This window comes from Homo sapiens, chromosome 10 (assembly GCF_000001405.40).
Source record: "Homo sapiens chromosome 10, GRCh38.p14 Primary Assembly".
Classification (NCBI taxonomy): Eukaryota; Metazoa; Chordata; class Mammalia; order Primates; family Hominidae; genus Homo; species Homo sapiens.
This window is the reverse complement of record NC_000010.11, coordinates 2,558,095-2,575,288: the sequence shown is the minus strand read 5'-3', so window position 1 is coordinate 2,575,288 and position 17,194 is coordinate 2,558,095. Positions and strand designations below refer to the sequence as shown.

Genomic DNA, 17,194 nt, shown 5'->3' with positions numbered 1-17,194 from the left:
GTTATTCTGGCTCAATGAGTGAATATGTTCAGACATTCACTCCATTCAAGATATGAAAAAAAAAACATACACAAGCATCTCTCTCCTGAAATATTTAAATTCTAGCTAGAATATACTTACATAAAATAACTAATGATATACACCTGTATTTGTTGGAATCTTTGGTGCAAGTATGATTATGGAAGTTTTCAGCAAGAAGATGGGAGTTTTGATATGCTTACATTAACAAGTGATGGGGAAAGGGAAATGGAGCTAGAAATTCAGGAGCTGGAAAACTGAAGTATTAAAAGATGTATCAGCTACTGCACCACAGTGAAGAGCCAGGCTTTAACATTGTTGCAGATTCCAGACACTCAGACTTATGTCCTAGAACATAGAGAGAATTGGCAGCTCATCACTGCAATCCTATTTACTGTTTCTTTATACCGAATGCTTTGCTGCAGTTTTCTGGAATCCAAGCTCTTTCTAATGACAAATTTATACAAATGCTACTGTTGTTAGACACACTGAATAAAAAGAAATGTTTCTAAAATTCTAACCACCACCACCACCACACACACACACACACACAGATAATAATTGAATTGCTGGTTCAGGAAGGCAGATTGAACTATGTTTAAACATAAACCTAACACAAGGAAAAGAAGGTAAGCATCAAACATATGTAGGATGTAAACCAATTTCTGTAGATGAAGATGTTGGTAAAGGATTCTAGACTGAAGCCACGCCTCTCAAAGTATTCATGGAGAAAGAGTACTTTTGTTTTGTTTCAATGTATGTTTTATTTCATTTTTGCTTTACAGTCTCTTGCAGATCAATACTTTTGTACAATATAATAAAATGGAAATAGTGGAAAAATAAAATGACATAAAAACTCAGGAACAGCATTTTTACTATTACATCCAATAGACATAAAATTACTCTGTGAAATTGCTATAGAAAATTCTCAGTTGTTTCCCTGAATATCCGGTCTCATCCCATCCTAGAGCAATAACTCACGGTTTGTGAACCTGTGGACCTTATTTGAGCATCACCGGTTGCAAGTATGTGGAGGAGGAGAAGATGCAAAAAGAGAAATTGTTTACTTGCAGAGACACAGAGCGCCTGGGACTCAGGAATGCCAGGGAAGACAGGGTGTGTGGCTCACAGTGCTCCCAAATGGATAAAACTATAGAAGCCCACCATCCTTTCCTTCCTCGCTTTCAAAATGCCCCCTACACAACCTACGGTTCATCACAGTGACCTGGCAAGCCAAGAAAAAAATGACTTACGATCCCTGCACATTTTCTAGGAAGGCAGGGAGGCTGCTGATACACAGTTCTAAGGGTTCCTTCCAAAATCATTAGCACACCTACTATTTATTATAAGCACATAGCAGCTGGGCATGGGGAGACTCCAACATCCAGAGAAGCTGAGATTTTTTTTCTGTTATTGTTGATTATTCTGGTTGGAGATTTATTAATTTTGTTGATCTTTTCAAAGAATCAGCTTTTGTTTTCATTGATTTTCAATATTATACTTTTTTTCCGTCTTATTTCTGCTCTAATTTGTATATTTGTTTTCTTCTGCTTAATTCAGAGTTGCAGTTCTCTTCTTTCTCTAGTTCCATAGAGTGGATGTTTAGTTTCTTGATTTTAGGCCTTTCTTCTCTTCAAATGTGTGCATTTAATTTCATAAATTTTCCTCTAAGCAGTGCTTTAACTGTATTCCACTAATTTCGATATGTAGTAATTTCATTTTTATGTAGACTGGATATTTCTAGAATTTACCTTGAGATTTTTCATGACCCAAGTATTACTTAGTAGCGTGTTGTTTAGTTTCCTAATATTTAAATATTTTATGTCTATATTTCTGTTACTGATCTCTAGGTTAATTTTATTATGATTTGAGCATATACTTTGTAAGCTTTATATTATTTTAAATTTGTTTAGTTGAGTGCTGTGACTCATAACGTGGTCTATCTATCTTGGTATATGTTCCATGTGAGCTTGGAAGGATGTGTATTATGTTTTGGTGGATGAAATATTCTATAAATGTCAATTAGATAAAGTTAATTTAAGTGAGGTTATTGGTGATAGATTCCTTCAGGTTTTGTTTTTCTGCGAAAAAAAATCATGTTTTATTTTTCAAGGGTAATTTCAATGGACATAAAATTCTAGTTTGAAGGTTTTATTTTCTTTCAATACTTAACTATTTAAACATCTCACATCACTGTATTTTTGTTTGCATGATATCTGATGAAAAGTCCACTATAGTTCTTATCAAAGTTTGTTCTCCATATATGAAACACTTACCAGTTCAGGAATGTACACTGTAGGTGCTGTTCTAAAGCAAAACTATATTATCACTATTCCCTTTAGGATATGAATATTTTATTTGGAAACCATCATGAGATGGCAAGAAAATTGATAAAATTGGTAAGGATATGTCTTCAAATACAGACATAAGTGGAAATCAAATTGACTCAAGACTCTATCTGTCACACGTAATGAAATGTTACAAATGTTGAGAATGTCAAAACCCTCACATGTGAGGCTAGATCAGCTGACCAGGCTGATTTTGCCTTGTCAGATCCTGAGCAGGGAACCCAGTTGAGCCCCTGGGTATCTGAACTCTGAGGCTTAGTAAGTGGCTGCTGCTTTAAGTGGTAAGTGTGTGGTGATGTGTGATGCAGCAATGGACGCAAACACAGTTTGTTGAAACCACATTCCTCCTACTGTTTCCAGTTGTATCAAGGCAAGCTATACCTGGGACAATACACTTCATGCTAACTCACAATTTTGACAAATTGATCTTCTTATATATCAGTATTGGAACATTTTTAATATAATCATGGTAATTTAATTTCATCCAAAATATTAATAGCGTAAAATATCTATTTTTCTGAATTTATAGTTTTGTGATTAAATAATGATTAATTCATATTTTGGGAATTTTGATTTTATAAGTCAGACAGAAGATGGGCAGAATTTGGTCTTCCTACTGACTACCTGTAAAACTTAGTATTTGATAACTAAATTTAATTTGATATTTTAAAATTAAACAACATGATAAAAAGATTAAATAGTTTAATAGGAAACACAGCTTTCTGAAGGTCCTAAATTTATAAGAATAATGTCTTCATGGCACAATTCTTATGCTAATTAAATATGACAATATATCTGCCAAAACATAATGCAAAATATATTTATAATAATACTATTAAAACATACATTTTATGTTGCAATAAACATGAGAGTTTAAGTTGTAATAAATTCAAGAGTCTAAATTGTAATACTTTCAAAAGTAATAACAGTTTTGTTTTTAAGCATTCTATAGTTAAGAGTATTGGCTAATCCAACCTGAAACTCCCTTATTGAATAAACATTGTCAAGCTCATTAGATAATATGCAAAGCAGAACTCAGACTGTTAGATTATGCATTTGATGTCCCTTTAATGTAAATTGGATGGTCACATGCAACTACTTTCATCTATACTGTATGTCAAATATGGTATTCCCTTGAGGTCACATCAGTCAAATAAGTCAAATCATATACCTCAATTAAAATATTTTTTTCAACTTTCATATTATTTTGTGACACTTAATGTTCAATTACAAGGCCTGGCATGGTGGCTCACGCCTGTAATCCCAGCACTTTGGGAGGCCAAGGTGGGTGGATCACAAGGTCAGGAGATCGAGACCATCCTGGTTAACACAGTGAAACCCTGTCTCTACTAAAAATACAAAAAATTAGCCAGGCGTGGTGGTGGGTGCCTGTAGTCCCAGCTACTCGGGAGGCTGAGGCAGGAGAATGGCTTGAACCTGGGAGGTGGAGCTTGCAGTGAGCCGAGATTATGCCACTGCACTCCTGCCTGGGTGAGAATGAGACTCCGTCAAAAAAAAAAAAATATATATATATATATATGTATATATATCTGTATATATATGTGTATATATGTATATATGTGTATATATGTATATATGTATATATGTGTATATATGTATATATGTGTATACATATGTATATATATGTGTATATATATATTCAATTACAAATTTTAAATTATTTATTTTTATAATGTGGAGCCATTTTATACTCCATAATATCTGGAAGTTCCTTGTCAAATGATTTTAAGTGGTGTTGGGAATAATCTAAATTTGAAGCAAAGGCAGTATGTATATAAACATCTATAAAACACTCTGGACCTCCACAGCGCATGCTCTCACACACTCAGAGTAATGAGTTTGGGAATTCTTGCTGTAATATATCAGTGGTGAGATCAGGCTCCTTTCTGCACTGTGACACTGGAAGGTCTATAATAACTATTGAATAAAATACAGAGCTGGTTATTTGGTGTTAATAGGATTCTACTTTTGGGAAACATGCTGGGAGATTTAGAATACGCTACAAAGAAAGGCAGATTGATACAAATTGGATTTAGCTACTAGTTACATATGAATTTATGGGAACAATAAAGCAGGGTTAAGTTATTTTTGACAGGTTTAGAGGATTGAAACAAGGAAGAGCCAAGGCAAAGGCTTATAAAACACTAACTTAGCGGCCCAGGAATCACAAACAGCAGCAGAAAAATGGGAACTTACTAAAGAAAATGGCGGTCTCTTGGGGTATTGCATTTTTCTAAAAGACATCTGAATAAGGAGTTTCGCAAACTGGCATTCCAGGAAAATTAACATTTTACATGAAAGAAACTCTACACACATTTTTACATGAAGGAAACTGTATTTGTTTCACTGTCGTTTTTATTCTTGCTTAATTCACTGACTACATAATTATATTTGATAATCAGTTTTAAAAAGATGCACATATGATTTTGGCATCATCTGAGCAAAACTACATCTTTTAATCTAAATTCTTATGGAAATTGAAGAATTAAGAACTACTAAAAAAGGAAACACATTAACTAAGGGTCTACTCTGCTCTTATCAGTTTGCATAACTTGTCTTAGGGAAACAAGCAAAACTCACATATCATCCTTAGTTTACGGATGCAGAAACTCAAGCTCAGAGAATGAGTGACTCACATAATTACTTATTTTCAGAAAGAGAATTCAAATCCGGTTTGGTCGGCTCACAAATTTCCTGGCTTTTCCACTAGAATGAACAACAAAAAAAAACTTTTTGTGACTTAATTTTGTAAGTTGTTTTCACAAAAATAAAATTAGGAATATAAAGTCATCGTTAAGAAAGTCAATCATTTTTAATTACCACAGACAAAGCCTCGTAAAGGATTCCAGCCTTAGCAGAGAGGCTGACCATCCCATCCTGCTGAAGAGGGCAGGGCATAAGATTACTTTTATGAATGTATCCCCTTGCTTTCATTTGTTTTTTTTTTTTTTTTTTTCTAGATCAAATTTTCTAGCACTGGCAACACAGTCCGGCCTTATAGTTGGCAATTTCTTTGTGACGCCAAGTTCTGGAGTCAAAAATCACTGAACATATAATGCCATCAGACAGAATAAACTAGAGTCACTGCCCAGACTACCTCTAATTCCAGAAAATTCATTTAAAATGTTCTATTGATTGAGTTTATTTTCTAGAGTACACAATTTGCATAAATAACATGCCCGCCCTCTAAGTAGTTTCATCATTCCTTATGGATTAGGAATCAGGAATCAGGATGGAAGTAAATTTCCCAAAGTTCAAACCGTTACTCGGTAATGTTGGGGATTATAGCCAAATGTGTCTCTCTTTTTTTTTTTTTTTTTTTTTAGACTGAGTCTCACTCTGTCGCCCAGGCAGGAGTGCAGCGCTGCGCTATCTCGGCTTACTGCTGGCACGCGATCTCGGCTTATTGCAAACTCAGTCTCCTGCTCAGTCTCCTGGGTTCACACCATTCTCCTGCCTCAGCCTCCCGAGTAGCTGGGACTACAGGTGCCCACCACCACGCCGAGGTAATTTTTTTTTTTTTTTTGTATTTTTAGTAGAGATGGGGTTTCACTGTGTTAGCCAGGATGGTCTCGATCTCCTGACCTCATGATCCACCCACCTCGGCCTCCCAAAGTGCTGGGATTAAAGGCATGAGCCATTGCGCCCGGCCAAATGTGTCTCATTTTCAAAGGGATTTTCCAGTGCTCCGTGCTGTTTCCTAAAGGTCACTCTAAACATTAATCGGTTGTTTTATGTTGGAGCTCTTCAAGTAAATATCGAGAGCCTCTGTATATTCAAACCCATTTCCTGGCACTTTTCCAATGGCCAGTAGGTACCTTAGGCTGCGTGAGAGGATTAATCAATGCTCATCTTCAAACGCTTCAAAACAGCTTGGTGATCTCAAAAAATACAGAACTCTGATAGCTAAATGCATGCTCTATTATTCAATAACTGACAGCCATAGCCACATCTCTGCTTATTTTTTAAAAGCAAGTTGCATGAAAAAGACATTGTTTGAATTCATACAGCACCAAACATTTTAATATTTTGTTTTCCACTTTTTATTATTATTATTATTATACTTTAAGTTTTAGGGTACATGCGCACAATGTGCAGGTTTGTTACATATGTATACATGTACTATGATGGTGTGCTGCACCCATTAACTCCTCATTTAGCATTAGGTAGCATGCATTAAAAAAATGATATTCTCATTTTATGAAAACTGCAAGTAATGGAAATAGCCCATGATATGAAAAGACTACAAACATAAGATCCCACCATATAAATTTTAGATAACAAAAGTTTTTCTGGAAAAGAAATTTGAATAGAATTGTGCCACATCAACTGCATGTGTTAATAATTGGTAAAATCAATATAAAAATAATGTGTATATTGGGAGAATAATTCTTCATTGCTAAGTTTGAATCAAAAATATTCTGACCTGGCCAGGGATGCTGAGACCTGTTTGTAGCTATTTTTTATAATACACCAGAGAAATAGATATTTGCGATTGCTAGCGGTTGCTGGGGAAGAAAGATACCTTTTAGCTCAATGGTGTGAAATTGAATTCTCCATCCACTTCTTTCGCTGTACTAGGGCTATTGGAGTTTGGAAGTGTCTTCCCTATCCAGTGTGTAAATTAAAATAATGCCTTTATTTTTAAGCCACATCACGGTTAATATACATGGTATTTTCTTCCACAGTTAAGGCATTTAGAATCTCCTCTTCCTCTCCCCATTTATTCAAGACGTTGAGCAGCTTAGAAGGTTGACTTCCATGACAGATTCCACAGAGACACTGCCACTGGAGCGCTTCCTTCCAGAGCATTGAGACCACCCAGGGTCTGCTTGTAGCTTGTTTGGCTTAGGATGGCACACTGCACTGGAAGTCACAGCTGTTTTCCTTATGAAACTCTGTGATAGATGATGCGAACGACCCCAATTTCTCACCCTCGCTCCCACTTGCACATTCTTGCTCAGGCCAAGATTTGTGACATTGTATCCAAGGAGCTGTCAGGAGAGATAAAGGAAGTGGAGGCCTTGAAACGCACTGGAGAAATCCTCCTGTCTCTGTTGACCTTTCCCGTGATTCCAAGAATATATTTGGGTTATCAAGGTGGATGACAGAGTCAATTTCTCCACTCTCCCAGCTCTGGCCCTTCTAGACTGGCTCCCAGGCAGCCCCTGACATGCAAAGGTGCAGATGGGTGCACAGAACAACCCGCAACTCACTGCAGGGGCGTCGGTCTCCAGCCAGACCAGCCCCTCACTGGCCCACTCAGCCACCCACAGGCTGTGAGCTCAGACCACCATTCACTTTAGTATGCCTCTGACGCTTTTTGACGGTTGTTGTGAAGAATTACTGTGTGAAGAACCGATGCTCGGTACACTTTGCAGTTTTATTACCACATACGTGACCAATATATTTTTTTCTAACTGTGAATAGTAATCAATTGAATGCTTATAAACACTTTCTGCAAAAGTTAAGAGCTGGGATTAAAATGCTTTAGAAGTAGCATAGTTAATAAAGTGTTGCTTTTTGAAGTGCTCTGTGTGTGTGCACATGTATAAGTGTGTCATTTGCATTGCTAGTTAAGATGAGCTTCTCTTGGTGGGTCACGGTCAAAAAGCTGGAAACAACCAGCTGAACCAGCGGGACTCTATGGATGGACTCTGTTGACCGTGTTGCAGGCAGGTGCTTTTTGGGGTGACAGGATAACATGGGGAGATGGAGAGGCAGGGAAACAAATGAATTGAGGGCCCCTGGAGCTGCAATCACAGGCTCTGCCATGCTGGGTCAGTGGGACCATCTCTGAGTCAGTGGGACCATCTCTGAGCGCAAAGGACAGCAAAACCTTCAGGAATAATGATTCTATAAATTCAAAGCTACATAGTTTATAGGTTTTTCTAATCAGAAAAGACATCTAGGAAATTGGAATGAAAGTGCTCATAAAATGACCTTACTTTTTTTGACAAGTAAATCTAAGGTCGGTCTATTGATAGAAAATAATTAAAAGGCCAATGACACCCAAGAGTGAAATCTGAGTAAGTGTCCCATGTTTTCAGGATATGCATTCAGAATTAGTTTTGATTCCAGAACACAAGACATATGTCCAGGTAACTGAGGAGGGGCAGGCGGCTATGAGTAATTGGCCTAAGCTACTTCATAGACTCTAAATGAAACGTCAGATACAGAACAGTCAGCTTCTACATTACACGTAGATCAGAAATCTGCACGTTGGCGATCACGCTCTGGCAGTTCTTCAACCCAGTAGCCTGAGCTGGGCTATTTCTTACCCATCCTGTGGTCTCTGGTCTCTCACTGCCCATCCTGCTCCAGAGCATGACTGTCAATGGGACATTTTGTCCCTGGTCAGCAGTGTCAAGATCTGAGGAAAGGAAAAGGAGCCAGTGACCGCTATCATATAATTAAATACATTAAACCAAATAAATAGAGCTCAAATCATAATGAAAAGAAAATTCATAGGAGAGGCAAAAGTTGCTTGAAATGTTTGACAAGGCGGTACAATGATCATAACTTACATTAACGTAGTGCTTGAAAGTTTACAGAACCCTTGCGTGTAAAGTAAATAGATGTAAGTGCACAACTGAGTGGAATAACGTGGTGCATGACACTTCTTCTATGTGTGATTTTGTTGCTCTCATTTTACAAGTGAGGCAAATACAGCTGAGATAATTTTATTGCGTTGTGTGATAACTAAGAAGCTGGGATTCCAAATGAGAGTCTCTTTAGTTGCCAATACAGTTGCCACTACAGTGAAAGTCTCTATATGCCTCATACATACTAAATGGTTGTCCTTTTCAAAGACATTGGAACTGATTGATAAACTCTCAGTTCTAGGCATTTCTTTTCTGTAAGGCTAACAAAAAAAAAACACAGGCAAAATATGGCCATTTATGTCTCGACATACGCTGTGAATGGTCTTGTCAAAAAGGAAAGAAAATATTTATGAAAGGTGATTCTTAATAATTGGAAAATGTTAGGTGCATATACATTTAAAACACCCATATGATTTCTATTCATAAAAATGACTAAAACAATTAACTCTGATTAGGTTATAAGCTTTGAGACTTGGCCTTTGAAGCCTGTTGAAAGCTTTCATTTATGCAAAGACTCATTTATCCTATGTTTCCAAATTCAGACTCACTAACATTACCCTGATATATCAATAATCTTTTCCTTCATGAGGCTGTGTAACAAACAGCCAGGAATCTTCAGTGCTAAACAACATCAAGCATGAATTGTGCTTGCGTCTGGGGACAGCGGCTGGGGGAGCCCTGCTGAATGTGTGGAGTTCCCTCACCGGCCAGAGTGTCAGCTGGCTGTTGGCCCATTGAGGAGGGCATTCCCTAGGAGACCATGTGGATGCTCGCACCTGTCATTCTCCAAGGCTGGGCATTTTCCCGTAGTGATGGCAGGACAGGGTGCGAGAGAGAGCAAGTGAAACACCAAGGCCCCCAGCCAAGGCTTGGACCGGCTCACTGCTATTTATATCACATTCATCATCCAACGACAGACAGGGTGAGCCAGTTTCAAAGAACTGGAAAACAGAATCCACATCCTCAGAGGAAATGTGGGGTTATCTGGCATTGTGGTTCCACGTTAGGGTAAGGAATGAGGTCTTCAGTGTCGTCGTCCACTCCTGTGATATCGGAATGGGAAGAGCATTCTGCTCGCACTGTGGCCCATGTAGACCCAAAGGTGGGGCCCTACATTTCCTTTAAGCATAACATTTTAAAAAAAGGAAATAAATTGTGAGGGTTAAACACGATTCAATTCCCAGATTTCATAGTTAAAATGGTACACTTAGTCTATTTTCTGATTATGAAAACTATACATATTCATTATAAAATATTTGGGAAAATGTTTAGTTTCTAAAGATCCTAAAGGGTATGGTTAGGAATATAAACAAAAGATACACTAAAAAATGTTCTATGCATGATTAAAGAGTAATCTAAGAATTTTAAGTTGTACATTAAAGTTAATATTTAGAAGAGATAGATTATTTGCCTAAATTCTGACAAATATTCCTTAAAATATACAAATATGCAATCTGACAACTCATTTGCCATAAGAAGTCTGAATGTACATATATGCTATGGTTAAAACTTCTATGGGGAAATCAGATCATGGAATTATGTGGGAAGTTAAAAGTGTTTCCTACAATCAACCATTCTGCTACAAGTGTAGTCCGTTCTTTGATGGAGATCACAATCATATAATTTAGTAACACAGTTGGCAGTGCCGAGTTTCATAATTTACTTATGAAAAGGAATAGTGCCTACAAAAAGGAACCAGAAAAATAACCTGATACTATTCTTGGCATAGCTTTTTCAATAGGTAGAAACATTTTTAGAAAGGTGGCATGAGATTAGTACATTCATAATATAGAACAAGCTACAGAACATCATGAAGATTTTGGGCTTTGTTGTTGCCATTTTTTTTTTCAATTTCGATAAGGCTACATTTGACGCCGTATCATGATGATTACAATACTGGCTCTGATAATACCTGGTGATTTTAAAGGATTTTTTTAAGCCCATTTTGAGCCTTCCTGTTTATTGTTTCTTCTTCATTGGAGGAAGATATTAAATATGTGAAACACATCTGCAAATGGTACTTGAAAAATGAAATGAAATGCCTTTGTGCTTCTTGCAGCCCATTCTACAATTTATTTTAACTTCACAGTTAAAAAGTGTATATTTTTTATTTTCTACCTATCTAGTTATAGCCTAATTGAAAAAAAAAGATGAAAACCTGATTGTTTACTAAGTTTACAGAAAATGTAAATGAACTGATTTCTTTGGACAGAAAAAGAAACACATTCAGTAGACAAACTTTAGGTGAATGGAAATTAGTCCTGATCTATTTTGACATAGCTCTTTATTTTTCATGTGTAACGCAGCTTGCCTTCATGGGCAGGAAGGTGGATGGGGAAGCCGCACGTGCCTGGCGTAGTGTAGATCTAATAGCGGTCGTGTTACGAAGATTAAATGAGTTAATGTTTGGAAACCTGTTGGGACAGAGCTGGCAAACGGTGAATGTGTTGCATGCATCAACTGTGATGATGCATTCCAGTGTAAATAAAGGATTGAAGATGATTTTTAATACATATATTAAGACTCTGGTTTTCAGGTTAATATTTTATCAGTTATATTCTTTACCGTGGGGTTTTATTCCTACAAAATGATGTTGGCCTTTTTATAATTTTGGGGCCCTTGGGGTTGAATTAAGATCCTTCATTGGTAGCTGGAATAGACTAGTTGCTTCAATGTTGCTATTTCTCAAGCTTCCCTAGCTATGTTGTTGGCCACGTGACCTTGTGGTCCCTCAAATTAAACCGTCACAGTCTCCTCTTTGTTCTAGAATTTGGCCCCGTAAAATGGCTTGCTTTGGCCGAGACCACCCAGCAGAGTGGAGATGTCCCCATTCCAGATCTGGGCCTCTGGAGGCTGTGCATTTGCCTTAGGATCTGTAATTGGCTGGCGACGGTTGCCCACACCTGCAATCCCAGCACTTTGGGAGGCCAAGTTGGGCAGATCACTTGGGTAGATCAGTCTCCTCTGCCATTTCCCAGTAGCCTGAGAAGGCCTTCTGGAGCAGAAGAGATGAGAAGAATGGAAAAGGACTTGGCTGCCCATCTTTAAGGTCAGTCTAGGTCAAAAGCCAGCCCAACCTAGACATGTAAGTGAGCCCAGCCCAGACCAGGAGGACCACTCAACCTTGCCAGTCACTGACCCTCCAACTCATGCACTAAGTAAAGGCTTATTGTTTAAGACCACTGAATCTTGGGATGGTTTGCAGTGAAGCATCATCAAGGCAAATGTGGAGCTAAAAACAGTAGCACAATAAAGAGTAAATATATTTATAACAACCAGTGGTCCTGATGTAAAATGTTATTAGCATTGTTTAGTTAAGGACTTAGAAATGAGAACATACTAGTATATAAGAAGCATGCATAGTGCTTTATGCAGATAAGTTAAAAAACAGACAAGTCTAGACAGGTGTTATAAGCATTCAGGAAGTCAAACCTGACTTTCTCTGTGTGATTAGGTAAGAAGATTTAACAAACGATTAAGCAGGAAGATGTGCATGGGTAGGAATTTATGAAGCACATTAAATTGCTTTATTCTCTTTTGATATTTTAGAGCATCATATTCTCAGGAGAAGTGCTACAAGTTCCCTTTTAGGAATGCATATGAGATCTGCTTTGTCAAGATTCAAGGATGAAAAGAGAAGAAGAAAAAAGTATCATAGTCGATTTTTCTAAAATTTTTCATAGTTCATTTATTCATTCCAAGATAGGAAAAAAAGAAAAATGAAAAAGAGCAAAAGACTAATGACTTCTTAGCCCCGCATTTTCCACTTGATTGATAAACCAAATTTTCTATTTGAGTTAATTCTGCAAAATGTTAACTCAATAATACTGCAGCCTGATTTAGATAAGACTAGTCATTCAAGGAAAGTCCAGCCAACTGACCATTTCTTCTAGTGAATCTCCCATTATTTGGATTCTAATCTTTTAGAAACCCCATTCTGAAGTAGAATTTATGCTTCTCGATGAACCAGCCAGTCAGTGAGATTCACTTTTGTTTTTTAGGCTAGGGAAGAATTTCTTACCTATAAGTGCCACTTGCTGACAGGCAACATTAATTAAGATAAGCATGAATTAAAGGCAATTAAATGTTGTCTGACCAGCTGTATTACAGAACAAGCCAGTGAAGTATTTTATTTATTTAGTAGAAATTCAGAATCCATATCATTTCCTTCTGCTCATGTAACTGTAAATCTTAGAGAGGAGGGTAGAATGATCTTCCTGTCCTGATACTGTCTGCAGATGAGCTCCATGTAGCCTGCATAGCCCTAATCATAATACGAGCCTTTGACACCAATGAAAGGTGGAGGACCCAGGAACCTCCCCTTGTGTAAGTTTTCAACACCAAGTGGTAGCAAACTCACTTTTTCCAATTGTAAATTAAGTAAGCATCTTTTAATTAAAGTTTCACACCTTACGCTAAGGGAATTGTTGTATTTTATTAATGTTTCTGAAGTTACAACCCTTCATTGAGAAACTCAGATGTGAGTACGTCAGATAAATCCTATTTCACATGGGAAACATAAAAAAGGATAACACTCTGGCCCCGGCAAGAATCAAGAAAACTAATTTTTAAAATGATACAATTACAGGATTTGTTTTTGCTTTTGAGATGGAGTGTCTGTCATCCAGGTTGGAGTGCAGTGATGCGATCTTGGCTCACTGCAACCTCTGTCTCCCAGGTTCAAGTGATTCTCCACCCTCAACCTCTTGAGTAGCTGGGACTACAGGTGTGTGTGTACCACAACACCAGCTAATTTTTTATATTTTTAGTAGAGATGGGGTTTCACCATGTTGGCCAGGCTGGTCTTGAACTCCTGACCTCAAGTGATCTGCCCAACTTGGCCTCCCAAAGTGCTGGGATTACAGGCGTGAGCAACCGTCCCCAGCCAACTACAGGATTTTTATAATTGATATCCTGATACAAAATGACCTATTAATCTGCTATTTATGGTGTTGGTATTAAGGTTCATGGTTGAAGAAAGGAAGTCTGAAAATGCTAAAAATCAATGAGGAGTTGGCTGATAGTTCATTACCCGATTTCTTCTTTCCTAAGTGGCAGCTATAGCAACAATGCCCAACTCCTGGGCCTTCCTTTTCCTATCTTTTTTGCTATACCACTCATGTATTGGTCAAAGTGGTTTATTACAATACCATGTTCATCTAAGCGTGGGGCACTAGGACGTTTGTCCACCTGCACATTTATGATTTGGCCAAGGGTTTTCCAGCACTTTTCTATATTATAGTATTAAGAGCAAATGTTTTACTTAGATTCGGGATTAATTGTTTGAACACAAAAGGATTCATAGGCAAGGCTATGAGCTTTCCCTTTCATCACATTATTTGCCATGGTTTCTGATTGTCCCACTTTACTGATACCAAAGTTAAATCAGTGTGCTCAGCCTCATATTCCTAGTGGAAAGTTTCACATCAAAGTTTTGATTAATGGTGATGCTCAAATAAGGTCCACAGGTTCACAAAGTTTTGATTAATGGTTTTAGCAGCTGTTTTTGATAGTTTCTTTTAAAAAAGATTTCATCGGGGATTGTAAAATTGTGATGTTCTAATACTGTTGGTCCTTCTATAATTAATTGGAATTTGTCTATAATGAAGGATTTCTTTCCCATCAACTATTTGAATGCACTAAAGTAATAGCTCAGAGAAGGCCGGATACCTACTAGCTTTTCTCTCTATTTGTCAACTGTAAGAATAACGATTCAGTACCCTTGGGTCCACCACAACATCTTATACCTCATATAAACTAAAAATGCATGTGCAAAATTATATTAAATTTTTATTTTTTGCTAAATTGTTTGCTAAGCCTCTTAAGCATTTTTTGAATTTCTTCTATCTTCTTCCTACTTAATGATTTCATTTTCACATGAATGAGTATATTCAAGATTTTTCTATGTGATTATATTTTATAAAGAACCAGACTTTTCTGTTATTTTCTTACAACTTTAACTTTACATTTTCTAATATATTAATTATTTGTTTTTAAAATTTTATTTTCCTTTTTTCTTATGCAACTTTTACATAAACTTTTTAATTTTAGAACAATTTTTAAGAAAAAAAAACCCAGTAGATTCCTATATACCCCACGTTCTCTTTTCTTGCATTAGTACGATAATTCTTTACATCAGTATGGTACTTTTGATATAAATAATAAATCAATACTGACATGTTATTGTTAACTAAAGTGCATACTGCATTGAGATTACTTTGTTGCACACCTAAGGGCCTTTTTCTACTCCAGGATCCTGTCTATAACTGTGATGCTGTCTTAGGCTCACCTTGTCTGAGACAGATTCTCAAACTTGTCTTTGGTGACTGTGTCATATTTGCGGAGTACCGTCCAGGTGTTTAATACACTCTCCCTCACCTGGTGTTCGTCTGCTGTTTTTCTTATACTAGATTGGGGTTGGAGAGAAAAACTAGAGGGTTAAAATACCATTTTTTTAACTCATATCAACAGTACAGACTATAAATATTGTGTTTTGCTTCACTTGTTTTTCTGTTGCTGTTCTTTGTTTTGAGAACTTCCTTATTTTCTGGCACTACAAGATGCTCTGGAATTATCTTATATTTTTTCTGCTTCAGTCCTAGAATCTACCATTTCTTGAAAGTGTGCTGGTTCATTTTGTTGGAGAATGGTCTTAGAAACCAAGATGGGTGTTAAGTGTGTTTGCTGCTACTGGGGTATTGTTGCCACTGGGTGCTTTGGTTTTTATTTAACATATTTTTGAACTTAAGAAATATGAGGTGAAGGCTTAGATTGTTTTTATTGCATAAAAATATTTGAAGCTAGAACATATTTCAATGAGTTTCCTATTGCTGTGTAACAAATTAGCGTAACCTTACATCTTAAAACAGCATAAACTTTATTGTCTTACCGTTTTAGAGCTCAGAAGTCCTAAATAGGTATCACTGGGATGAAATCAGAGTATCAGCAAGGCTGTGTTCCTCCTGCAGGTGATAGGCAAGAATCTGTTGACATGCATTTTCCAGCTTCTGTTAGGTTGGTGCAAAAGTAATTGAGCTTCTTGATGCATTAAAATGGCAAGAAGTGCAATCGCTTTTGTACCAATCTGATAGAAGTCACCTGTATTCGTGGACTTGCAGCCTCTTTTCCAATCTTCAAAGCCAGCCATGTCTGTTCAAGTCCTTCTCAAGATCCCATCTCTCTGGTTCTGTCTTTTGGTTTTCTCTTCCACTTTAAGGACCCTGTTCCTGACATTAGGCCCACCTGGATGATACAGAACTATTTCCCCTTCTTACTGTCAGAGGCTTAACAAACAGTTTCATCTGCAACCCGGATTTCCGTTTGCCACGTTTCCTAACCTAGGAGTAGGTTTTAAGAATTCTTTCGATAAACATATTTTAGGTAGCCATAACATGCCTGCCATAACTATGTTGGGTATATATTGATATATAGAGATTTTTTTCATTGTTTTTCAAATACTTTGATATTATTTTTCTGATTTCTTTGACCAAACAATTATTTTGGATCTTTTTAAAAACTTGCTTGTATTTGTAGAAAACTCTCTTATTAAAGAGCTGCAATTAATTTCCAGATTTATTAAAATATGATCAGCAAAAATTGATTTTTCAGTTTGTGAACATTTGGATTGATTTTATTAGAGCCTAGTACAGAATGAATTATTGGTGGTTGCCTAAACATACTTTCTACCTAGGAACAACTTTTAATAGCTTTAAAAATATTTTTATTGTTTATTCGTATTACTCCTGTTTTGCCTGCGTGATGATTATTTGTGTGGATATCCAGGGAACTCACATGAAGCTTAGGATAAGCTCAAAATAACTGTGCCAGAAGAAAGATAAGGCAGGCATCAGTGAGCAACTCTGCTGCTACGCTAAATCCCTGATTTTAGGTTTGTGGATTGCGACAAAATGCAGTTATGTTATTATTATATTAACAAGCTCATAAAAGTTTTGGTGTTACCTTTAAATAATATGCCTTGTATGATGAATTTGATACTGAATAGAGAAATAACTGACTTGAGGGGCAAATGCATCTCATTCGGGATTGAGAGAGCTGCTGTATGCCTATGTGCTTATTTTCAGTGGCATAACATCAGCAGTATTTTCCTTAAACGTGCCTACTCCTACCAAAGCTCAGAGACAGAATAATACAAGAAATGTTGTTTCTAAAAATTGGCATTAATATTTATGATAAATAATTAGT

General features: G+C 36.9%; 1 long non-coding RNA gene across 6 annotated transcripts in view; it reads right to left on the bottom strand.

Annotated features, from left to right (window-relative positions):
* LOC105376350 (uncharacterized) overlaps positions 1 to 17,194 on the bottom strand; it is a 116,889-nt gene that overhangs the window by 43,453 nt on the left and 56,242 nt on the right. Inside the window, exons 2-4 of one of the 6 annotated variants that reach the window (NR_188171.1) lie at positions 15,282 to 15,398; positions 8,669 to 8,760; positions 5,024 to 5,093 (exon numbers count right to left, since the gene is read on the bottom strand). The exons of 1 other annotated variant lie outside the window; for it this stretch is intronic. This is a non-coding gene — a long non-coding RNA (uncharacterized LOC105376350). Of the gene's footprint in view, positions 1 to 4,967; positions 5,094 to 7,751; positions 8,761 to 15,281; positions 15,399 to 17,194 lie in introns of those variants that run through there. 4 more of the 6 variants (NR_188172.1, NR_188175.1, NR_188173.1 and 1 more) reach the window with 4 other exon arrangements.